The sequence below is a fragment of the Homo sapiens genome, chromosome 7 (assembly GCF_000001405.40).
Source record: "Homo sapiens chromosome 7, GRCh38.p14 Primary Assembly".
Taxonomy (NCBI): Eukaryota; Metazoa; Chordata; class Mammalia; order Primates; family Hominidae; genus Homo; species Homo sapiens.
Genome location: NC_000007.14, coordinates 125,353,801 through 125,380,124, shown reverse-complemented (window position 1 = coordinate 125,380,124; position 26,324 = coordinate 125,353,801). Strand labels below are relative to the sequence as shown.

The 26,324-nt window shown below is 33.2% G+C and overlaps 1 long non-coding RNA gene across 1 annotated transcript in view; it reads right to left on the bottom strand.

Moving 5' to 3' along the window:
• Nucleotides 1-803: 803 nt before the first annotated feature.
• Nucleotides 804-26,324, bottom strand: part of LOC101928283 (uncharacterized) — a 194,753-nt gene continuing 169,232 nt past the window's right edge. The window contains exons 8-9 of the long non-coding RNA NR_110188.1: nucleotides 16,609-16,690; nucleotides 804-1,067 (exon numbers count right to left, since the gene is read on the bottom strand). This is a non-coding gene — a long non-coding RNA (uncharacterized LOC101928283). The remainder of the gene's footprint in view (nucleotides 1,068-16,608; nucleotides 16,691-26,324) is intronic.

Below are 26,324 nucleotides of genomic sequence, written 5' to 3'. Positions count from 1 at the left end.
CATTTTCCTTAAAGTTAGAATGAAAAATATACAGTCATTATTATGAGATTTTTCTCTTCAAGTTTAAGAGACAAACAATACAAACTGATATTTGCTTAGAAAATATGAGACGTTTGCTTGTGAACAGCTGCCACATCACACTATTTAGAATAGAATTACAAAATTGATTGGAAAATCTGTCTTATAAAAACTTTTCTATCAAAAATACACAAAACCTAAAATAAAACAAAGATACGAAAAATAAACTATGCAGAAATGGAGGGGTTTTTTAACCAAAAATGCATGAAAATATATATGCTCAGAAGTTAAATGGGAAAAAAATATGCTGTTTATTTTCATTTCTAGCAACACTTTAAAGTTTTGAATCAGTATGCTAGTTTTAAAAATTATTAAAATACATATTATTTAGTTATGAAAAAGTTTGTGTTTGGATACCTCAAAGAACATGGGGTTTTAGAAACAGTGATCAAGAAGCTAGAGTTGACAGCAAGGAATGAAATGATATATTTAAGCTATCAAAAGAAGGGGCAGGAAAACAAAGTTCATAACACAGAAAGTCAAAGTACAGCACTCTTTGAAGACTTAGAAAGTTAAAGTGGCAATTGGTCATGGCTGAAAAAGAAATGAACTAATGAAGACCAATGGGTTGAAGGTACAGAAAGGGCTGCATGTTCTGAAGATAAATAGGCATGGAAGTGAGGTGAGAGGAAATAAGGTAAAGCGCACTGAATGAATGATAATGCCTGAATAGGTAGCACGTTGATTACTGAAGTAGTTCACAGCGCTATAGATAAAACCAAAAGGATATTAAATCATTTAATGGCTTTCTATGAATTATAGAAGAAGGTCCATTACTGTGGTATGTTGTTACATAAAACTACATGTTCCAGAGAAGACATCCACAGCCTTCTGCAGCCTTCCTCAGGGATTTCTTTATCCATTTAGAATTCTCTCATGTGAACCAGGTCAAATATTAAGTGTCTCTCGGAGGAGTGACAAATTTTGTATTCTTCAGAATGGTGCAATAAAATTTAGCCACTCATAGACATATTGATTAATCACTGGATCTGTTAAATGTAAAAATCAAATTTGTAAGATGCAAATTTAGATGACCTAGACCTTTTTTGCAAAATAAAAAAAGAAGAGCATTGAAGAATTAAACATAACTGCTGAATCAGAGGAAAGTTTCCAAACTAACCTTTTATATTTTTAATATCTAAAATAAACCACATATAACAGGAATTATACTTTCACATTTTTGAAATAAGCATTCATACATGAGTATATTGAATAGTATTAAATAGCAACTAAATTTATGCAAAGGAAATAGAAACTAGCTACATATTGATTATGCATTAATTTCATTAGAAATGGTAATTCGGCTGAAATAACACCATATCATAGATTTAAGGTTTTGAATTTAAATTTAGGGCTTGCAAAGAAAATTATACAAAGTCATATATTTTACTTACTTGGGACCAATAAGAGAAAATTAAATTTTGATAAACATACTTATTGTTATCTACATACTAGAAACTAATTAGTATGACTGGCTTTAAAATAGAAAATAATTTTGTGCTGATAAACCTTGAGGATTAATTACTGAGATCAAATGACATAGACACCGGAACACTTGTCATTTTATTTTTGTAAATTAATCCGTAAACCAAAAAAATGTTAATTGAGCAATAATGAGTTTTCTGGGAGCATACTAAGTAATGAAAGAAATACAAAAGAAGAAAAATTTGCAATTCATATAATCAAAACCTCAATTGCTGGGTGACCACCATGACTTATGATTCCTAACTTTTATCACACAGGTGAGAATTCAAGCTCTATTACAGTTTAATTTTGTGAGTTTTTCTTCTTAAAAAAAGCAAAATAGCTAGTATGCATTTGTATGAGCTTAATTTTTGAAATATTCAGAAGATAAATTTAAATCATATTAATTTTGGCTAATTTTGGTGAACTGGGATTTTCACTGAATTTGGTTAACTTTTGCAGAAAACCATTCATATTTATAGAACCAGAAGGAGATGCCCAAGTGAAAATCTCCAGCCATTAATTTATTATACTTCAAAATATGTTAAAAAAAAAAAAGCTATTAAGCATAAGACAAGAAATAGGACCCTGATAATTGTATTTCTGACAGAATTTTTAAATGCGTACATAGACTATTATGAAGTATATTTTTGATTATTTTTCTTTTCCATTATTTTTCTTGTATATTTAATGCATACATACATTATTTAAAAAAATTTCATGGGTTTTAAAGAAAACTATAAATGGAATGCTTTTGGCATTCTCGCTAAGCTATTTTTAAGTAATTGAACCACATTTTTAAAAATATTCTGGAGTAATGTATATACTTATAGTTAACTCTTTACCCAAATGTGATGCCAATATCAAAAACCAGATATGATAAGAGAGACATGATTTCTTGGAAATCTTAATTTTTGTCACGTAGAACTTCAGATTTGTTTTAAATAAGATATCACTGATCTATCTAAGCATTTGCATTTCCCTGATGATTAGTGATGCTGAGCATTTTTTCATGTGCCTGTGGGCTATTTGTATGTCTTCTTTTGAGAAATGTCTGTCTAGATCTTTTTCCCAGTTTTAAATCAGGTTATTTGTTGTTTTGCTATAGAATTGTTTGAGTTCTTTATATATTCTAGTTATTAATCTATGAATTAAAAATGTGCTACACACAATGGAATCTTATTTAGTCATAAAAAAAGAATGGAATCTTGTTATTTTCAGCAACATGGATGGAACTGATTAAGTGAAATAAGCCAGGTTTGCTAGCAAGGACCAAACTATAGGAAAATTGTGCTTTTGTTGCCTTATGACAAATTTCATTAGTATGCTAAGAACTATTCTGTCAACTGTTGTTGGTAGACATTTAATTAGATTTGTTTTAAAAAGCCTTAAGTGACAGGAAGACAGCTGCATACTTACCTTGAAAATGACATTCTATGTTTCCCTGTAAGCTAAACTACTGCAGCTGTCTGATAATTTTTACTCTTTCAAGGAAATGATTTGTAAGAATGAGACAAGTGATCAGCTTTGAGCCTATACTGACTTTAACAGGATTTTGGAAAGGCTGGGCAAGAGAACAAAGGGAAATTTATATCAGTGCCGAAAACTGGTCATGTGCTTGTGATTTCTGCTGCTTTGTTGGACTTCTTTGTTATAATATTTATCTGTCTTTTTCAAGAAAAAATAAGTTTAGAAATGCAAATACTACAGAGAAAGAAATAGCTGTGTTCCTGCCCATGTAGTTATTTAAAATTGGCACACTATATTTGTGAATTTTTTTTTCTGATTCAAGTCAATGAGTTACTCTGGATACACTGGAATATTTACTTATTTATATTGGGTTACATTTGTACAGTCTGTTATTTTAAAGGAAATGCACTGATACTCTGGGAAATATATTGCTAGAGAGATAGATAGTAACAGAGAAATGAAGAAATATTTCAAAAAATTCCAGTGGTAAATGAAAACTTTATTATTTGCTAGGATGCCTTGGTAATAAAAATTCCAATGTTAAGCCTGCAAATTTTATTCAAAATATTTAAATCATATGTATGATAATTGTAATAAATCATGAACTCTAGTAGACTCAAGGATATAAGACACTGGTAGTATTGGTACCTGGGAAGCATAATATGTGTGGGGACAATGATTTAGAAGACACCTATGGTAAGTTGAAATAGACAAAGCTTTGATTTGCTGAGACCACATTGCAGAGGTGAAGGTCAAAGTTAACCAACCTGCTAGATTAAACACAGGAGGAGAAAAATTCATGTTGATGTAAAGACTTAAAAAAAAAAATCAAAACCCCAAAAACTGTATCTAAGCTCTTTAGAACCAAGAGACAGGTATATGGCCCTAAACAGCCCATCAAACAGTATACTGAATGGGAGCTTGTTTGTGACCACTGTTTCCCACCCCTTGGTGACTGCTTGTATTGGTCCCAAGCCAGAAAGATCTTTTGTTGCTGAATTGCCTGGTTTAATTCAGCGTATTTCGAGGGCTAGCAACAAAACATCCCTGGGGATGTCTTAAAACTTTACGTTTTAAACACATCCTTATTTGCAGTCAATTGTACTTCTTATAACCTCCTCTCTGAATTCAAAGCAGTTTCAACAGCTGTTTAAATAGCAGAGGAAATGAAGCTGCCTCAGTGATCTTACTACATGGATGAGAAGAGAACTGGGCAATTTCAGAACAGCAGCCTCAGGAAATAAAGCCAGAGCTGAGTTGGATATTCTTGCTCAGTTCCCTGTTGTACTCTTCCCAGTTAAATCGATGGCTCCTTCTTAAGGAAATACTCCTCTTTGGGTAAGAGTCAGGACTAGAGGTTTTGATACAGGGGGCAAGGCAAATATGTTCCTCTCATGTTTCTTTTTTTTTTTCCTCCCTGGAGATGAGTTTAGGGATTCATTCCCCCAACTTTCTCTATCTTCTTGCTTTCTTAACCTATTGGGCTTAACAATTGATCCTATAGTCAACCAGAGGTGAGGCTGTGTAGCAATATATAATAAAAGTAAGATTTTCACCTTCATGAAGTGGTTCTCCTCATCTCTAGTCATAGGATTTTATTGCGAATGCTCCCAGTACTACTGATGGGAAGCTCAGCTTTTGTCCCAAAGCCTCAATGCATTACAGACGAAAGTAATCACACCCTAATCTAAATCTCACAGCAAATATATCCAGCCATGTGTTCTGAGCTGGCTCTGGGTGTTATGTGATGAATCCAAATGCGTACAAAAATTACTCCAAATGGTAAAATGTCAGCATTATTAAAATATGCTAAATTTAAATACTATTTATTTCCTCACATTATCACATTCCAGTTAAATTTAAAGTCCATAAATGAGATCATTGTTCCCTTAAACGTAATTGTAAAAATAACAACTAAAAGTGAGTCTAAAGACATTAAAATCCAAAAAAATTATATTGTTAACTTCTTATTATGCAAGTCTTAGCCAGATAAATCTCTTTCTGATGCCTGGATAATATTGGAATTCCTTCAGCAACTGCAACCTAGGCTGTGATACAGTGAAATTGGTATAGCCAACTCTAGAAATTGAATTATTTCAGTAAAAATCTTCTTAAACTAAAGGTATCACTTAAACAAAGCCCCAAATTTTCCATCTAGTATTTCAGTGCTCAAACTGATATTTGTACTTATTTCTTGGAGTTTCTAAATAACAAAATAATATTGAGATTTTAAGGGTTCATTCAAAATTTAGAAATGAGAACCAGGCATCAGATAAATAGAGATCAAAGATGAATATCACAATCAATAAAAGTTGGACATAAGAATAAAACCTAATTTGAAGCTTAATGGGTTTCTATTATCTTCATCCTATATTGAAATTTAAAAACATTAAACTGCTGATCCCAGTAAGCCTGCCACATGCAAAATAGAGAAAATCTTGGCACCTTCCACAGAAGGCAATAAGTGAATCCTGTCTTGAGGAGGTGTTCTCATTCTTTTCCTTTTCTGGTGAGTGAAGTTGAGCATTCTTTTCCTCTATGGACATTTGAAGACAGAAATAGCATTGAAATTTCCCAATTTCAATGGCTATATGAGAAAAATTCTAACTAAAAAAAGAGATGGGTTTATGATATTAATGGACATGATTTAAAGGCTTAACTTTTAAGTGTATTATTAAAAATGAACATATAACTGCTGTGATAGACATATATATTTTCTTCATAGCATCTTTTTCCTTGTGAGGGAAGTAGAATTTTTCTCTTCTGTCTCAGCAGAGCCCAACACCAGCTGCCAACCCCAGGTAAGATCAGGCATGAACCTAGGTCTAATCTCATGACCTTGAACACCAAGAACAGCTCAACAATAGGCTGAAAAATTAAATAAGGCAATCAGAATCCTCTCTGCAGTTTTTCTCCTTGAATTATTTGGAAATAATGTCTGTTTCCAATAGAAAATACCTAGTAAGATGTCCCACAGTGTTTAAACTAATAGTGCATTCACTGCATGGAGACAACTTGTGCCAGAACTAACATGATAGGATTTACTTAATGGCACATTTAATTACCTAATGGAGCTATTCCTAAAATCTTGTATAATAACAATTCTGAGCTGATGCAACATTTATCCTAGCAGAATATTTAGTGAAATTTAGCCAAGAAACACATTAAAAGACGTTTGTCACAGCCAATCTGAAAAACACACAAACTGCTGAAATTTTGATAAACTAATACAATGGGAAAGTATATGTTTGAAATAGGACAACCTTTAAGTCATATTGTTAAGTAGAAAAAATAGATACAAAACTATGCATACAGTATAACTAATTTTGTGTAGATTTAAATAATATATATCACTTTATGAGTAAATACATATGTTACCAGATAAATATAAATTCTAGAATTACAAATATGACTTTTAATAACAGTTGCATTTTATGGCAGAAATAGTACAAATTTAGAAAAGAGATAAGATTTTGCTAATAATTTATAATTTTTCTTACCTTGGAATTTTTGTATTATGTGCATATATTATTTTTTAATATAGTTATTGCCTTTTGGTGGAATCATGGCCAGTTTTATTGTTTTTTATAATTCTAACTTGAAATTACTAATAAATATTATTTATTTAAAAATTATTTATCGTACTGAAGGCAGCACAGAGCTATGTGTGATTTTATATATACACACACATATATATATATATATGTATAATTTCCACAGTAAGATTGTAGCTTCTTGAAGACAGAGACCATGATTTCTTTTTCTTTTCTCCCTGATGGTAGCATGTAAGTTCTACCTAAATTGATTTATATAGAATTGAGCAATATGGTTGCATGAGATATGTTAATTGACAAATTCTTCTCTCTTAGAAAAGCAGATAGCCTTGTGTAAAAACCCAAGATTCTTCCATAAAATTATCTCCAAATTTATAAAATTAAAAATGAAATAATCATTTTATCTATTGTATGGTTAACTTCACTCAGGAAAATGAACTGAAAAGCAATAGGAATTATGTGATTTTTGTAAAATGTCAAAGACTTTTCTTTTTATGATTGTTTTCTAGTGAATGAATTTCTTAGGCTTTTGGACAAATTGTAGGGTTCATCCAACGTGAACATTCAGTACATTTTCAATTTTTTTAAAGTACTTGTATACTGCTTAAGTAGTTTATGTAGTCACATAGAAATATGGGGCACATAACTTCAATGGCAAATCCCAAATTCCATTATATTGCTACATCTGTAGTTAATGAATAATGTAAACGAAAAATTCAGAGTTTTCTATATAGCACACACATTTTTATCTCTACTCTTTTATTTATGAATATTTTATACCAGCTTGCGATTTTGTATCACTGCAAGTAAAAATGAAAGGCAATTGTAACATGGTTATAAAATATACCATAGTAACATTTAGATGATCGTCCACTTTTCCAAGTACAAATAATGTTCTTTATTTCCCCAAAGCTTTTTGTTAAAGTTCAGTTTTTCTATGAGACTTATAATTGATCTCTATTTAATAGCAATATTGGCTCGATGGTTTGTTTTTACTACGTACTTCTAAGCATAAAAATATATCAAATGAATACTTTTACAACAAATATGACTTGAAATACTCGAAATCAAGTTCCTCATACTAGTGCATTTAGGAATGAGAATATCTAAAAAAATACAGGATTTAGAACTCTTCCAAAAACAGTATCTAGTGTATCTCTCAGTGCCCTGACGAGAACTATGTCACCTCAATGGTGACTCTTATGTACCATAAACATCATTACCTTTGGACTCATCTCCTAATGACATGGAGAAAAAAGTATTCTACAACAATAAAATATATTTTTGTAGTCTTTAAATTAGTCCCTATTTATTTGAGCTGTCTAATGGAGTCTATTATCCTGAAATGCACCAACATACCACAGTAATTCAAGGAAACTTGCAAAATAAGCAAATAATACTTCAATGCATTCAAAGATCACTTTTCTTTAATTTAAAAAATATAATGTCTTAAGAAGAATGCTTTTAAGGCAGCTTTGTAACACTAGTGTAACTAGATGATGTTCAGAGATATAAAATTGAGCTATATTTTTCGCAGGAATATATTCAGATAAACGTCCCTGAAATTTCAGGAAACGCTACTAATTTTTAAAGAACTTTTGAAAACAAGGCAAATGTCAGGGCTATGGAGCACCAAATTGTTTGGACAAACGATCAAATGGGTTTTCCTTGTCTCTTGATTAAAAGCAACAACGGCTACAATTTGTTTCTAATTTTAAAAACTAGATGCTGATGATCACTGAATAATTATAAGATTAACCATAAGAACTTGCATTTGCATAACTAATTTTAATCTTCAAATATATTTGCACAGATTATTTCTTTATTTTCTTACAGTTTTCTTACCCTTTTGATTTTTACCAGTATTACTGACAAAACAACTATATTGGCATTATTTATTAATCAGGTTAACATTTGCATGTTCTGGATATTTAAACTTTCTACAACATGTTAAAATTAGCCCTTAGCCCAAGGATTAACTATTTTTACCAGAGCAGAATTCTAAATTCAGGCTTACGTATACCCAGAACAAGATTTGTCCCATTACTTAATACAGCTTAAATTGAGAAGGTTGCCATTCAGTATTTTTCATGATCTAGAATATGGTAACCTCCAGATGACAAGTGACAATAAAGACTATATTTTGAAAATTCTTTTATAAACTAAATTGTAGTAACAAACCTTAGAGATGTGGGATAGGGTCCAGCCCATTGCAACAAGGTAAATACCACTATAAAGTGAATCAGATGTATATCATTTTCTGTAGATTGAACTAATTAATTATTTACTTTTTCTAAGTAACTTTTCATAATTTGCAGAATTTTATAAGGATCTTTAGTAAATACCATTTTCAAAGTAAACTGGAATGTGGTCCTTGCCACTTAAAGATATTTTTTATAAGCTTAAGAATGGTGTAAACATTGGGTTAAACTGCTTAGTCATATAAGATTTTCTAGCCTATTGGCTATTCTAGAATTACATCACTTGCATCTGAGAAATTTGTACATTTATCTTACTTATCAAAAAACTTATTTCACAACTTCTTGCTAGAAAACATAAATCAGTTCAAGTTCCGTAATGTATTGTCATTTTTTGTCATTATATGACATCACCATTTTTGTTTATTTTATTTCTTTGTCAAATAACTTATAGTTTTTATTTATTTATTTCTGAGACAGGGTCTTGCTTTGTTGCTGAGGCTGGAGTGTAGTGCTAACTGAAGCCTCAAACACCTGGGCTCGTGATCCTACTGTGTCAGCCTTCCAAGTAGCTAAGACTATAATCATGTGACACCACACCCGCATTTTTTTTTCAGAGATGGGATCTTGCTATATTGCCCAGGCTAATCTCAAATCCTGTCCTCAGATGATCCACCCACCTTGGACTCCCAAAGTTTTGGGATTACAAAAGTGAGAAAGTGTTCCTGGCTGTATTATACTTTTTAAAATGAGTATTCTATTGCTTCACAATTCTCTGTTTCTTGTCATTTTATACTTGGTAAGTTTTTCCACTCAATATTCTAAAACTGCAATTTAGTTCTAATTTATGTATACTCAAAATCATTAACTTTTCTTAATAAACATTGACACTGTATCTTTGTTAGCAAATTACCAGCGATGTTCTTGTTAAAAGAAAAGCTACTAGCTACTTGTTAAGAATATATATTATCTGAAAAATAATACAAGATGGTAAAACAAATAGTCTTCTTCTTGTCAGTTATTATTTTATCATCATTCATATTTTGATGAAATATTTCATTTAAAATTTTACTTCCTACAGGTTTATCCATAATCAGGGCATTTTGAATGTATTTTATGTCCTTAAGAAATTGGTTTAGCTCTGTAAAAATCTAATAGATTTTAAGACCCCATTTGAAATATGGAACTTTTATCAGCAGAAAATATCACAGAAAGCAGAGGAAAAAGTAAATTAGTAAAGCCAGGAAAATATTAAATTATAACTTTTATGGAATATCATTTCTACTGTGGGTTTCTTTCCCTTGAATAATTCTTACAATGCACATTGGAATGAGAATGAAAAATAACATTTTCCCTTTATTCATTGAATTAAAAAGTGCATTCACAATGTTAAAACATTATTTACTATTGCTGTACTAGCTAAAACAGGAAATATGCCCAGAGTCAAAAAGAAATGGGGACAGGTTTAATGGAAATTAAAGACTGGAGTCAACATTATTATACACTTAGATTCTCTCTTTTTTTAGTATTTGTTCTCCATTTCAGAAAATGTTATATGTAAAATAAAAATACGTGTGTATTTGTTTCAGGCAGATTTTCACATTCTATTAGCTTAGTGACATTGGGACTAATAGAAGAAGGTATGCAATAGCAATGAAAATAAATAATTGAATGAGCACTTTTTTTCAGCAAAAAGAAACTCATGTATACCCATTGACATGTGAAAATACTTTGCAAAATTATTAGGCAATCTGTGTTTTAACAAATTATAATCTTACAACAAAATCTCTTTAAAGAAATACTCCAAAGACACTTTGTAAAGAATAAATGCTGTATCTGAAAAAATTTTTTGATATTGCCCAGAATTCCAGAATGCTAGAATAGAATGAGGTACTGAAAAGATATAAGATTTTTATTCTTTTCACATTTTAAGATATTTTTAAATAACAAATCATCCACAAAGACATGCTCCTTGCAAATTTTCCTTAAAATTCCAATGGATATAAAGCAAATATTGATAGTGACAGGTTACCATACCCCAAGCTCAATGTACTTCTCCATATATAACTGTTTGGCATATGTTTTCCTAGATTTTGTATTCCTTGCACCAACTCATAATAAATCTTTAGATCTATTCAACTCAAAATGCTGCTGAAATAGATTAATTATTAAGCCTGCTATTCATTTGGATGTGTTTTCCCTCAGTTTTCTATTTAGTTTCCTACTTACCAAGGGTCATTTTAGCTGTTGAAGGAAACATTAACAACCATGTCAAAAAGAACTTACTGATAAGGCACTATATTTATTTACACTTTTGTTAAAGTGAAAAACTATAGTTACAGATGTAATGGAGCTATAGATACATGTGTATATGTGTATATGCATGTATATATGTATTTATATATGTTTACCTACACATACTCTAGTTTGTTTTGCAAATTGGCTTTTGATAATAACATGTACTTATTTCATACCCACATTAATTCATTTAGCTTATGCAAATCATGAAAGAAGAAATGTAACTTCTAAAGTTTTAGACATCTAAATTACCATCCTGACAATAGAAACTTTTTCCTTTAAATTAAAACAAAACAAAAAAAAGGTGGTGTGAATGATCACAGCAATATTGAGAATGTTTAAAATGGCTATTTCCTTACATTTTAAAACAACATATGAATGGAAAATTTTTATTTTGGGACAATTATTATACACTATTTTATTAACACTTTCAAATAAAAAGATGTTCACCCTTTCACTTCTTCCACCATGTGAGGATGCAGCAACAATGTACCCCTCTGAAGCTGACAATGAGCCCTCAGCAGACAGCAAATCTGCTGGCACATTGATCTTGGACTTCCCAGCCTCCTCAATTGTTATGAACTCATTTTCTGGTACAGCTAAGTTAAGAGACATCTGGGCTGGTGCAAATACACACGAGGATGCCACTGCCCTACTCCCACCAGTGCCTCAGCCTAGCTGATACATGTGTACCCTGCTGCATTACCAATGCTGCTGGTACGTGTGAGTGAGCATAGATCCAACTGCCACCACCCTGATGAAGCGCTTTGGCCAGTATCTTCCACTGGATTCTTGTGGCCAGTGAACTGGGTATACCTTTGCCTCTCTAGTGCAGCAGTTTCTAACCTCAAGGGGCCAGAGTATGAAACCAGAGGCCCAATACAAGCACCCTAGGGTTAGAGCATGAAAGCAGGAGTGCTAAGCTGAACTTTGGCCCCCCGAAGTCTTCAAGAAATGAAGCCAGTTGACTGATCCCACTTTATACCACAATAAAACCCTCAAATGCATGAGAGAAGATAAAAGCAAAAAGTCTGATCCAAACAACCACAACTTCAAAGTTTAAAGGAACATCAACCCATACGGATGAGAAAGAAGAAGCTCAAGAACTCTGACAACTGAAAAAACCAATGTCTTCTTGTCTCCAAATAACTGCACTAGCTCCCCAGCAATGCTTCTTAACCAAGCTGAAATGGCTGAAATGATAGTCTTAAAATTCAGAATATGGATAGGAACAAAAATTATAAAGATTCAGAAGAAGTGGAAACCCAATCCAAACAATCTAAGAAATAAAGTAAAACAATACAGGAGCTAAAGGAGAAAATGGCCATTTTAAGAAAAAAAAAATGATCTGATAGAGCTGCAAAAGCCACTACAAGAATTTCATAATACAGTTGCAAGTATGAACAACAGGACAGACCAAACTGAGAAAAGATTCTGCAAGCTTGAAGACTGATTCTCCAAATTAACTCGGACAAAAATGGTAAAAAAGAAAGAACAAAATCTATGAGAAATATGAGATTGGGTCAAGAGACCAAATGTATGACTCTTTGGCATCCCTGAAAGAGAGAGAGAGAGAAAGCAAGCAATGTGGAAAACATATTTGAGGATGGCATTCATGAAAATTTCCTCAATCTTGCTAGGCAGGCCAACATTTAAATTCAGGAAATGCAGAGAACACCTGTGAGATACTACATAAGGTGACCATAATCAAGATACATAGTCATCAGATTCTCTAAGGTTGACATGAAAGAAAAAAATATTAAAAGCAGTTATAGAGAATGGGCAGGTCATTTACAAAGTGAACCCCATCAGGCTAACAGTGGACCTTTCACCAGAAATCCTACAAGTCAGAAAAGATTAGGGGCCTATATTCAGCATTTTTAAAGAAACTCCAAACAGGAATTACATATCCAGCTATACTATGCTTCATCAGCGAATGAGAAATAAAATCCTTTTTAGATAGGAAACTGCTATGGAAATATATTACCACCAGATCTGCTTTACAAGAGGTCTTTAAGGGAATGTTAAACATAGAAACAAAAGACTGTTACCAACAATCACAAAACACACTTAAGTGCATAGACCTTTGACACTATAGAGCAACTACCCAATCAAATCTGCATAATATCCAGCTAAAAAAAAATGATAGGATCAAATTCATACATATGAATATTAAACTCAAATGTAAATGGGTTAAATGTCCCCAGTTAAAAGGCACAGAGTGGCAAGATGAATTAAGTAACAAGACCCAACTGTATGTTGTCTTCAAGTGAGCCATCTCGCATGCAATGACATTCATAAGCTGAAAGTAAATGAATGGAGAAACTAAATAAAATTGAGATGTGGAAACCATACAAAAGATCAATGAAACCAAAATTTGTCTTTTTGAAAGAATAAATAAGATTAATAGATTGCTAGTTAGACAAAAAAGAAAGAAAGAAGATCCAAATAAACACAGACTTGACAAAGAGGACATTACGAGCAATCCAACAGAAATACAAAAAGCCCTCAGAGACTATTATAATCACCTCTGTGCACACAAACTAAAAAACCTACAACAACTGGATAAATTCCTGGAAACATACAACATGCCAAGATTAAGTGAGGAAGAAATTGAAACCCTGAACAGACCAATAATGAGTTCTGAAATTTAATAGGTAATAAAAAGCCTACCATCCAGAAAAAGCCCTAGACCAGCCAGATTAACAGCCTAATTCTACCAGACCTATAAAGAAGAGCTGGTACCATTCCTATTGAAACTTTCAAAAAACTAAGGAGGACCTCCTCCCTAACTCCTTCTATGAGACCAGTATCATTCTGATACCAAAACCTGGCAGAAACACAGCTAAGAAAGAAAACTTCAGGCCAGTATCCTTGATGAACATAGATACAATAATTGTCAATAAAATACTAGCAAACTAAATCCAGCAGCAAATCAAAAAGTTAATCCACCATGATAAAGTCATTATCCCACAGGTGCAAGTTCGGTTCAATATATGTAAATCAATAAATGTGATTCACCACATAAAACTAAAAACAAAAACCACATGATCACCTCAATAGATTCAAGAAAGGCTGTCAATAAAATTCAACATCCCTTCTTGTTAAAAGCTGTCAACAAACTAGGCATTGAAGGAATATGACTCAAAAAATTAAGAGAAATCTGTGACAAACCCACAACTTATGTCATACTGAATGGACAAAAGCTGAAATCAGTCTCCTTGAGAACCAGAATAAGACATGAATGCCCACTGTCACCACTCCCATTCAACATAATACTAGATGTCCTAGCCAGAAAAAATCGGTCAAGAGAAAGAAATAAAAGGCATCCAAATATGAAGAGGAAGACAAACCATCTCTGTTTGCAGATGATATGATTTAATACCTAGAAAACCACGTAGTCTCTGCCCAAAAGCACCTAGATCTGATAAAAAACTTCAGCAAAGTTTCAAAATACAAAATCAATGTACACAAATTGGTAGCATTTCTATACACCAACAATGTCCAAGCCAAATCAAGGACACAATCACATTCACAATAGCCACATACACACACACAAAAACCTAAAGTACCTATTAATAGAGCTAACCTGGGAGGTGAAACAGTAACTTGAGAGTTACAAAATGCTGCTGAAAGAAATCAGAGATGACACCAACAAATAAACATTCTATGCTAATGGATAGGAAGAACTAATATTGTTAAAATGGCAATATTAAGCCAGGCATGGTGGCTCATGCCTGTAATCCCAGTACCCAGGAGGCTGAGGAGGGAGGATCACTTATGACCAGGAGCTCCAGACCAGCCTGGGCAGCACACAAAACCCCATCTCTACTAAAAATACAAAAATTTGCCTGACCTCGTGGCATGTGCCTGTAATCCCAACTACTCAGGTGGCTGAAACATGAGAATCACTTGAACCCAGGAGGCGAAGGTTTTAGTGAGCCAAGACTGTGCCACTGCACTGCAGCCTGGGTGATAGAGTGAGACTCTGCCTCAAAAAAAAAAAAAAAAAACAGGCGATGTTGCCCAAAGCAATTTACATATTCAGTGCTATTCCTATCAAACTGCCAATGATATTTTTCACAGAATTAGAAAAAGCTATTGTAAAATTCATTTGGAAGCCAAAAAGAGCCTGAATAGCCAAACCAATCTTAAGCAAAAAGATCAAAGCTGGAGGCATCATACTACTTAACTTCAAACTATACTACAAGGATTCAGTAACCAAAACAGCTAGATACCAGTACAAAAACAGACACATATACAAATAGAACACAATAGAGAGCACAGAACTAAAACTACACACCTACAACCATCTGGTCTTCAACAAAGTTGACAGAAATAAGCAATGGGGAAGGGACTTCCTATTCAATAAATAGTGCTGGAGTAACTGGCTAGCTATTTGCAGAAGATTGAAACTGGACCCCTTCTTTATACCAGATACAAAAAAATCAACTCAAGATGGATTAGAGCGTTAGATGTAAAACCTAAAAGTATAAAAACCCTTGAAGAAAACCTAGGAAATACCAATTATGGGATATCATTCTGGACATAGGCCCTGGCAAGGATTTCATGCTGAAAACACCAAAAGCAATTCCAACAAAAACAAAAATTGACAAATGTGATCTAATTAAATTAAAGAGCTTCTGCACAGAAAAAAAAAAAACTATCAAGGGAGTTAACAGACAACCTAGAGTTAACAGACAACCTATAGAATGGGAATGGGAGAAAATTTTTGCAAACTATGCATCTGACGAAAGTCTAATAATCCAGAACCTATAAGAAACAGAAACAAATTTACAAGAAAGAAAATGGTAAAAAGTGGGCAAAGGACACGAACAGACACTTTTAAAAGGAAGATATACAAGTTTCCAACAAGTATATGAAAAAATACTTAAGATGACTAATCATTAGAGAAATGCAAGTCAAAACTACAATGAGATACCATCTGACAAAGTCAGAATGGCTATTAATAAAAAGTCAAAAACTAACGGACACTGGCAAGGCTGCAGAGAAAATGTAACACTTACGCACTGCTGGAAGGAATGTAAATCAGCTCAGCCATCGTGGAAAGCAGTTGGCAATTTTTCAAGGAACTTAAAACAGAACTATCATTTGACCAAGCAATCCCATAATTGAATATATTTCCAAACTAATATAAATTATTCTACCATAAAGACACATGCACACATATATTCATCTCAATACTCTTCACAAGTACAAAGACATGGAACCAACTTAAATGTCCATCAGTGGTACACTGGATAAAGAAATTTGGTACGTATATACCATAGAGTACTATGTAACCATTAAAAAGAATATAATGTCTTTTGCAGCAACATGGGTGGAACTGGAGGCCATTATCCTTAGCAAACTATTGAAGGAGCAGAAAGCCACATACCACATATTATCACTTATAAGTGGGAGCTATACATTGAGCATACATGGACACAAAGAAGGAAACAATAGATACTGGAGCCTAATTCAGAGTGGAGGGTGAGAGGAAGGTGAGGATCAAATAATTACCTATCAGGTACTATGCTACTTACCTAGGGGATGAAATAGTCTTTACATCAAACCTTCGTGTCATGCCATTTACCTATGTAACAAACCTCCACACATACCCTGAACCTAAAATAAAAGTTAAAAAAAGTTTTTATATGAATTTTCCTGATGATAAAAATAATTAGATATGATTAAATGCCCATCACATAACTAGAAGCTATTTAAAAAAAAAAGGTTATGTGAAGTAGTAGGAACTCTTGAACAGTGCTGGTGGGAGTGCAAATTGATACATCCATGTTGGAAAACTCTTAGGCCTTATCTAACTATAGGGTAATATTTTTACACCTATGAATCAAAAAAACAGTACCATTTATATACTCAAAAATGCATACCTACATTTTATAAAGGCATGTGCTCCAGGTTTATAGAGTAATATCTAAATTAATATCCCCAAATTAAACAACCTAAATACCTATGAACCATAGAATAAATTAGTTATTTTGTGGTGTAATCATATAATGGAATAAGATAAATTAATGAGAGTTAAACTACAACTACAACCAAAACTTTAAAAAATTTTACAGATATATCATGGAGTAAAAGAATTCAGACTTTAAAAAGTATTAATGCATAATGATATTTAAATTAAGTTTGTAAACAAGCACACTCCTTTCATAGTATTGGGATGGTTGTTATCCCTGGAATGGGAAGAAAATGTCTTGGTTCAAAGGTGGTTTCTTGGTATGGTCATTGATCTGCAAACTGGATTACACATTCTTAAGATGTATACTCATTCATATGTTGCACTTTAATTTTAAAAAAGTTTTTCTGAAAAACTATAATGATGCTTGAAATAAAAAGTAAAAAATAAAGTCTTTATTTTATTTCTTAATGCTTTAAATAATCATGATTTAATACTGACAGGACAAAACTATCAGTAATGATAAAAGTCAGATTTACAAGGTCATTTACCAATTAAAGTGAGTAGTTCTGCAATGTATTTACCACAGATCTAGCCCAACGAACTGCCACATTTGTGGTTCTTAAATGTTCATCAATAGTGATAACCTAGGGAACCCCAGCTGGAGAACTGGAAATTGCTCTCATCAATTTCTATGGGCTTTCCTAAGCCCACCCATAGGGAAGATTTCTTGACCTAGACTAAGATAATCCTCTTATTTTAATTATGATTATAACTGCCTCCTCCACTCCCAATACCTGTAAACTATCTTTAATTAAAATGAGAAGGATATTGAAAAAGTTCAAAGTGTAAAGTTAAAAATCAGTGAAAATACTAGTTCTATTAAACATACATAAGATACTACTAAAGAATCAGTTCAATTTCACAGAACATTTGCATTTCATTGCCCTGGATCATCTACTGAGTGCCTGGTAGCTGAATGTGTCTTGATTCTTAATAAATTTTCAAATAAGTTTTCTTCATAATATTGCTTTACTTTTCCCAGAGGAACTTTTTCTTCTCCCTAACTTTTTAAAAATTTCACTATGTTTTGAAATCATAGTTTATTTACAATATTGGCTAGGTATAGTGGCTTACCCCTGGAATCCCAGCACTTTGGTAAGCCAAACAGGTGGATGGCTTGATGCCAGGAGTTTGAGACCAGCCTGGGCAACATAGCAAAACCCCATCTCTACGAAAAGTACAAAAATTAGCCAGGCATGGTGGAGTGTACCTGTAGTCTCAGCTACTCTGGAGGCTGAGGCAGGAGGATAGTTTGAGCCCAGGAGGTGGAGGTTACAATGAGCTGAGATCATGCCTCTTCACTCTAGTCTAAGTAACAGAGCGAGACCCTGTCTCAAAATAAACACATTTTTGAGATATATTATGGAATTGAATTTAGTAACTGATAGTTATATGCTTATGCTTATGGTGATTTGCCATCCGTATCTAAAAGTTTTCTTCTGTGTGTCATCATTTCTCAAAAAAGGCCCAGAATTGAAGAGCTACGAAATGACTTCAATTTCAGGAAAAGCCAATAATCATTTGCATAACACTCAAATAAGAAAAAAAAATGTTATACAGGCAACTGAATCTCCACACACTTTCAGTGAATATTGTGACTTTGTTAATCCTCAGTTCATGACAAACAATTTGCCAGAAACTTGGTGAGCTCCTGTTGAGCACAAAATGATTGAATAATTGCTTTGAATAGTAAACTGTAACATGATAAAACTTTCCCATATCTTTTCTTCATAAACATTCTGGTTATATTGAGTTGCTTTCATAGATATTTCTCATAGTTTATTACCTTATCAATTTAGATATTTGCTGTTGTTATTAGACACAGGCATACATCATTTTATTGTAGTGTGCTTTCATGTACTTCTCAGACACTGAGTTTTCACAGGTTGAAGTTTTGTGGCAACCCTGCATCAAGCAAGTCTATCAGTGCCATTTTTCCAAGAATTTATGTTCACTTTGTGTCTCTGTGTCACATTTCGGTAAGTCTCCAATATTTCAAACTTTTTCATTATTATCTGTTACGGTGATATGTGCTCAGTAATCTTTGATGTTACTATTATAACTGGGGGCAGGGGACACAAAAAACGCACCATATAATATGGCAAAATTAGTCAATAAATATTGTCTGAGTTCTGACAGTTTCACCAGCTATCTGTTCCCGGTCTCTCTCCCTTTTTTCAGGCCTCCCTATTTTCTGAGACATAACACTATTTAAATTAGGCCAATTAATAACCTTACAATGCCCTTTAAGTGATCAAGTGAAAGGAAGAGTCACATGTCTCCCACTTTAAATCATAAGCTAAAAATGATTGAGCTTGGTGAGGAAGGTATGTTGATAGCCTAGACTGGCTTCTCTTACCAGTCAAGTTGTGAATGCAAAGTAATAGTTCTTGAATAAAATTAAAAGTGTACACCAGTGAACACATGAATGGTAATAAAATAAAACGGCCTTATTACTGATATGGAGAAAGTTTCAGTGGTCCAGATAGAAGATCAAACCAGCCACACCATTACCTTAAACCAAAGCCTAATCCAGGGCAAAGCCCTAACTCTCTTCAATTCTGTAAAGGCTCATGGGGGTGAAGAGGCTGCAGAACTAAAGAAATTACGTCTATAAGAAAAAAGTGCAATTTGAAGCAGCAAGTGCTGATGTATAAGCTGCAAATTATCCAGAAGATTTAGCTATGATCATTAATGAAGGTGGCTGCACTAAACAACAAATATTCAATGTAGATAAAACAAGCTTCTGCTGGAAAGAGATGCGATCTAGGACCTTCATAGCTAGAGAGGAGAAGTCAATGCCTGGATTCAAAGCTTCAACTGACAGGTTGACTCTTGTATTAAGGAATGATACATCTGGTGACTTTAAATGGAAGCCAATGCTTATTGAAAACTCTGAACATCATAGGACTTTTAAGAATCATGCTAAATCTACTCTGCTAGTGCTCTACAAATGGAACAACAAAGCCTGGATGACAGCACATGTGTTTACAGGATAATTTAACTGAATATTCTAAGTCCACTGTTGAAACCTACTGCTCAGAAAAAAAATACCTTTCAAAATATTACTGCTCATTGACAATGCACCTAGTCACCCAAGTACTCTGATGGATATGTATAAGGAGATTAATGTTGCTTGTCTGCCTGCTAACACAAGATTCATTTGCAGCTTATGAATCAAAGAGTAATTTTGACTTTCAAGTCTTATTATTTAAGGAAAACATTTTGTAAGGCTATAGCTGTCATAGATAGTGATTTCTCTGATACATCTGTGCAAAGTAATTTGAAAGTCTTCTGTAAAGAATTTGCTATTCTAGGTGTCATTAAAAACATTTGTAATTCATGGGGAGGGGTCAAAATGTCAATATTAATTGGAGTTTGGAATAAGTTGGTTTCAAACCACATGGATAACTTTATACGTTTATGACTTCAGTGCTGAAAGGAACTACAGATATGGTAGAAATAGCAGGAGCAGTAGAATTAGAAGCAGAGCCTGAGGCTGTGACTGCATTGCTGCAACCTCATAATAATACATGAACAGATGCAGAATTGCTTTTTAGGGATAAGCAAAGAGTGGTTTCTTGAGATTATATCTACTAGGGAAGATTCCTGATAAAGGTATGAAAACTGTTGAACTGATAACAAAGGATTTAAATATTAGATGATCTTAGTAGATAAAGCAGCTGCATGGTTTGAGAAGATTGACTCCAATTTTGAAAGAAGTTCTACAGTGGGTGAAATACTATCAAACAGCATTGCATCCTACATATAAATATTTCTCAAAAGGAAGAGTCAATCAATATGTCAAACTTCATCGTTGCCTTATTTTAAGATATTGCTGCAGCCACCCCAATCTTCAGCACCCACCACCCAGATCTGTCAGCAGCAATCTACATTGAGGCAAGACCCTCCACTGGCAGAAGATTATAGCTTCCTGAAGACTTAGATGATCATTAGCATTTTTAGCATTAATGTTTATTTTAAATAACATATGTATAATAATTTTTAGTCCATGTGCCATTGCACACTTAATAGACTACAGTATGGTGTAAACATAACTGTTATACACACTGGTAAACCAAAATATTTGTGTGACTCATTTACTGTGACTCATTCACTTTATCTGGGTGGTCTGGAACTGAACCCACAATATCTTCAAAGCATGCATGTAGCAAGAAAATATAGGAAAACTCAGAAATAAGAGAGATAATTGGATTATTTTTCTGTAACTATCCACGTCACTTACTTAAATCTCCACTTTGGCAATGAACATTGTGTCTACACCTGTATGTTCTTGTTCCAGATTACCCCTGATGAAGCCACACAGGAAAACAAATATTTAAAATACTTGAGTTAATATCTACTGGTGAAGATGACCAATAAAGATTTGAAAATTGTTGAACTCATAACAAAGGATTTAGAATATTAGATGAACTTAATGGATAAAGCAGGTACACGGTTTGAGAAGACTGAATCCAATTTTGCAATAAGCTCTTCCGTGGTTGGAATACTATCAAACCATACATTTTTAAAGCCTGTTTAAAAAAAAATACTACAAGGCAAATAAATGTGAATTACATTTTACATATATGCTACAGGCAGTGATACATTAAATAAGAGTAATACAACAGAGAGCTTTACAAATAGTTTGGAATTTAAAAACTAGATGTAGTAGAGCATATCCTAAAAGGAAATTAGTTTCAAATGGCTGAGAAAGGGCAAAAGAACACTGAAATGTACTTGTCTAACTAGAGCAGAAGTAAATTTACAAGAGGAAGTGAATTTTATAACTAGGGGAAAGCTAAAGGTTTATAAGGGTTTAAGTAGTAAGTAGATTACTCAGGTCATGGGTTGTCAACTTTTTGACATCAATGGACAAACATATATGTACTCTAATCTATTTGTCTAAACATTTTCCTGGAAGGGGATGTGTTTGCCAATCGAATAAAACAAATTATTTACCCACATACCTGAATATGTCTTGTAATTTTTTTTAAAACAAAAATAATATTAACATAGCTTCAAGTTTCCTTTTCTCTCTCTGTGTTTCAAAAGAACATGATCCTCCTACATCTAATGAACAGATCCATGAATTAGAGTAGTGGGACAGAAGAGAATTGCTGAAGGCCCTCCAGTGAGAATGCCTCAGGAATGCAGCAATAAGAGACTATTTCAAAGTCTGCCTATGAGCAAGAAGAGCAGCACACAGTAGTTTTAACATCCTGCCTTTCTATACAGTCATAAGTTTGAAATCTGCTTATTTTGGTGTCTGCTAGTTGCTAGAATTGGTTGAGCTAGATTTTTCATTTTTCTGAATTCAGCTCTGTAGCAAAAATGCTCAGATATTTCTCTGAAATAGTTTTTTTGTTGCTGCTGTTTCTTGGAAGAAATATTTTTAAAAATTTTGGAAACATTCTTTTCTACATGATTCTTTTGGCATGAGATTATAGAGGGAGAGACACCCTTAGAAACCTTTTATATCTTAGGTGCCAGGGTTCAACGGAGCCAAATATCTTATGTCCACCTGATGCAAGGTCACCACACTAAGGAGGTATCAAGGAAGATGAGACAAAATGCTAACTTACTACTTTTATAAATATATTTTGGTGTGTTTGCAAAAGAAAAATATTTTTTTCTGAATAAACACCATGGTCATTCTCATACCAATAACATACAAATCTTGCAACTTATTTTATCCATCACTCTTCGTCTTGATATTGTTTCTGCTCTTATTTTCTGATTTCAATTTCAAGGCAAATATTTTTATCTAACATTATAAATTTCCCATGCAGTTTTTTGAGTAGCTTCTCTGATCCATTACCTATGACTTTATCTTTTTTTTCTTTAAAGAAAGATATAATATTTAGAATTATGATTGATCTTAAAAAGATCAAAGAGAATATATGCAAATATGTTTTATTGTTCTAATTCTGAATGAAACATGAAAATCCTATTAGGATATAAATAAGGGAAAGTATACAAAATGAGAAGAAAATATCAAACATTAAATGCAAGCAAAATTTAATTTGCATTAATTGTACATCTCTAGCCAGAGGATGCAAAATGACATAGCTGTTATCTCACTTAAAGGGGACACTAAGCTTCAAAAAACATATAGGCCAATGGGCAGCAGAGAACTCTTGGTTTTATCTTTTCACCTAATTATACTTTTATAGCATTCAAACTATCATTTAAATTTTTCTTTTATGCAATGTCTCATAATAACTAATTCTTAGTTAGAAGCCAGGCATGGTAAAATTGACATTTATTTTTCATTTTATTGCTATTATTATTGCTATAGCTACTATTTTAGTGTGGTAGGACATTGGTTTTCCATATCCTTTAGAAGGCAAAGATTTAGATAGTCAGCTGAGTGGGAAGAAATGAAGTGTAACTTTAAGTCAATGCTGGTGAATTATAAGTGAATACCCACAGCAAATTATTAAATTCAAGTTATTAAATTTTGGAATTTCAATTAAATTATTTTAATGTTTAAAACAAATATTCAAATTATTTTAATGCTTAAAACAAACATTCAAAGAAATATCTACTTAAAATTTTTGACTTATAATAATAAACTCCCACATTTGTGTATTCACTATTAAGATAATTTTGCTTATCACAAAAATATAGTGAAATCTGGGTTTGTTCAACAAATAGACTTTTACAGAGTAATGATAACAGCAAAAGATTACTATAATAGACAATGTATATGCGTATTAGTTCATTCTCATGCTGCTAATAAAAACATACCCAAGACTGGGTAATTTATGAAGGAAAGAGGCTTAATTGACTCGCAGTTCAACATGGCTGGGGAGGCCTCAGGAAACTTACAATAATAGTGGAAGGGGAAGCAAACACATCCTTCTTCACATGTGGCAGGAAGAAGACTGAAAGCCGAGCAAAGGGGGAAGTTCCTTATAAAAACATCAGATCTCATGAGAATTTACTCACTATCTACTCACACGCTATTCTCGTAATAGCATGAGGGAAACCACCCCCATGATTCAATTACCTCCCACTGGGTCCCTCTCACCACATGTGAGTATTATAGGAACTACAGTTCAAAATGAGATTTGGGTGGAAACACAGCCAAACGATACCTATAAGGTACTAATCTAAGCATTTTGTGTAAATTATGTTATTTCATCTTTACCACTATTAAGACTTACGGTATACAAATGAGTAATATGTGGCTATAAGGGTTTAAATATTTTTCTCCTACACGTTAAGTTAATAAGTGCACTTTCCTGATTCAAAACCAGTTACTTATTCATCCCTCTAAAATTTGTGAAGCAATGCCATTGCTACCCATATTTCACAAATGTGGATAACAAAGTTAAGAGAGTTATCTTTATGTGATTATTGATATAAAGTGGTAGAACCAATGTCTGAGCTCAGAACAATATATTAAAAGAGAAAATAAAAGTAAACTTCATGGAGCTAAGGGTCATGGAATAAAAATCTAGCTGTGCAACATCAACATGATCAGCTAGCTATATGTTGATATTGAGCATATGTATTAACTGTAATAACACATTTACTGGTTTATATATTTTAATAATTATATAATTAAAACATATCAATTTGGTTTTTAAAAGTCCAATAAATTGTACTGTTAACTAGGCAATGTGAAAGCAAAAACATGTTAAATGGAGTAGTGTATTTGTAAATAATTTTTGAAGTGGAGATACTAAACTACACAAATTCCGCAAATAAAAATATATAATACTAGTTGAAGGACATATTATACATGAGCTGGATGAACCTTTCAATTTACTTCTCTGTTATTTATATTATCAAACCTTTTCTCTCCACTGGATACATAACTAACAAATATGCATGAGGCTTCTCATTTAAAGAATCAAAAATACCCTAGGTTCTATATATTCTAACTCACACAGGAGTCTGTACATCGTTGCCATTTCCTCCAGAAATTTTAATCTATAGCAAACCTCAAGAAGTATAGACATTTGTATAAAAAGAGTTATTGCTGCCAGTGATCTACAGATACCTATAAACTTGTTCAAGTGAAATTTTACAAATTCTCTAATTTAGATCATCAAATTATATTGCAAATATTTGTAGGAATAATTTTTGAGGGAACTAAATAAAGACAGTGATCAGATCACATGTAATATTGGAAGTGAAGGATAAACTATTATAAGAAGAATATCCCAAAGTACAATTGTTTAAGCAAAAGACGTGTGAATCTCTCTTGCATAGCAGTCCCTAGTTAAGCAGCCAATTTAACAAGCCATCTCTTGTTGCATCTCCATCCACTAGCATGCTTTTATAATCTGTAAGATGAAGTTAGACTTCATTAATTTGTGTTCCAGAAAAGGCAGAAGAAATTCAATGCAGTCCTTATTCTTTGAAGCAAGTGAGGCAGAAAGTTCACACATTACTTTGGGTCATGTTCCACTTGTGATGTTCTAGTTACATGGCCATAGTTTTCTGAAAGGGAAGCCAGGAAGGATAGTCTCCAGCTAGGTAGGACTAGTTATTCATTTGAGCACCATGCACTGTGCTATCTGCTGGCTTTACAGAAATGAGGTAAATGCACACAAACTTCTGTCTTCATGGAGTTTATAGAACATAATACATAAAAATACCCTGTATATTATATATTAAGAAGAGAGAAATTGTTTTGAAAAGAATAAATGAAAAAAGGATAAGTGGTGTTGAAATGCACTGAGACATGTTGCACTTTTTAATAGAGGGGTTGTTGCAGACCAAGCTTGTCTAACGTGTGGCTCAAGGTGGCTCTGAGGGTGGCCCAACACAAATTTGTAAACTTCCTTAGAACATTGTGAGTTCTTTTCGTGATTTTTTAATTTTTTTAGCGCATCAGCTATCGTTAGTGTTAGTGTTTTTTTTGTGTGGCTTAAGACACTTCTTCCAGTGTGGCTCAGGGAAGCCAAGATTGGATACCCCTGTTGTAGACCATGCCAAGAAGGACTATTAGAGCAAAAACTCTAAACCCTACACACTTCTGGGGGAAAAATCATTCCAGGCATAGATTAAGCAATCGGAAATATGGTGCGATAGGAAAACACTCAGTGTGATTCAGGACCAGCTAGTAGGTCTGGTGTTTGGAGCTGAGTGAGTAAAGGAGAAGAATGGTAAAATCTGAGGTTAGAGCAGTGACAGAGAACAGATCATTTAGGTCCTCATGGGGTTGTTATGAGGACATTGGATTTTGCTCTGAGTGACTTGGAACGTTTTTGGAGGTTGTTGGACAGAGACTATTTGTCTGAGAAAAGTAGAGAATGG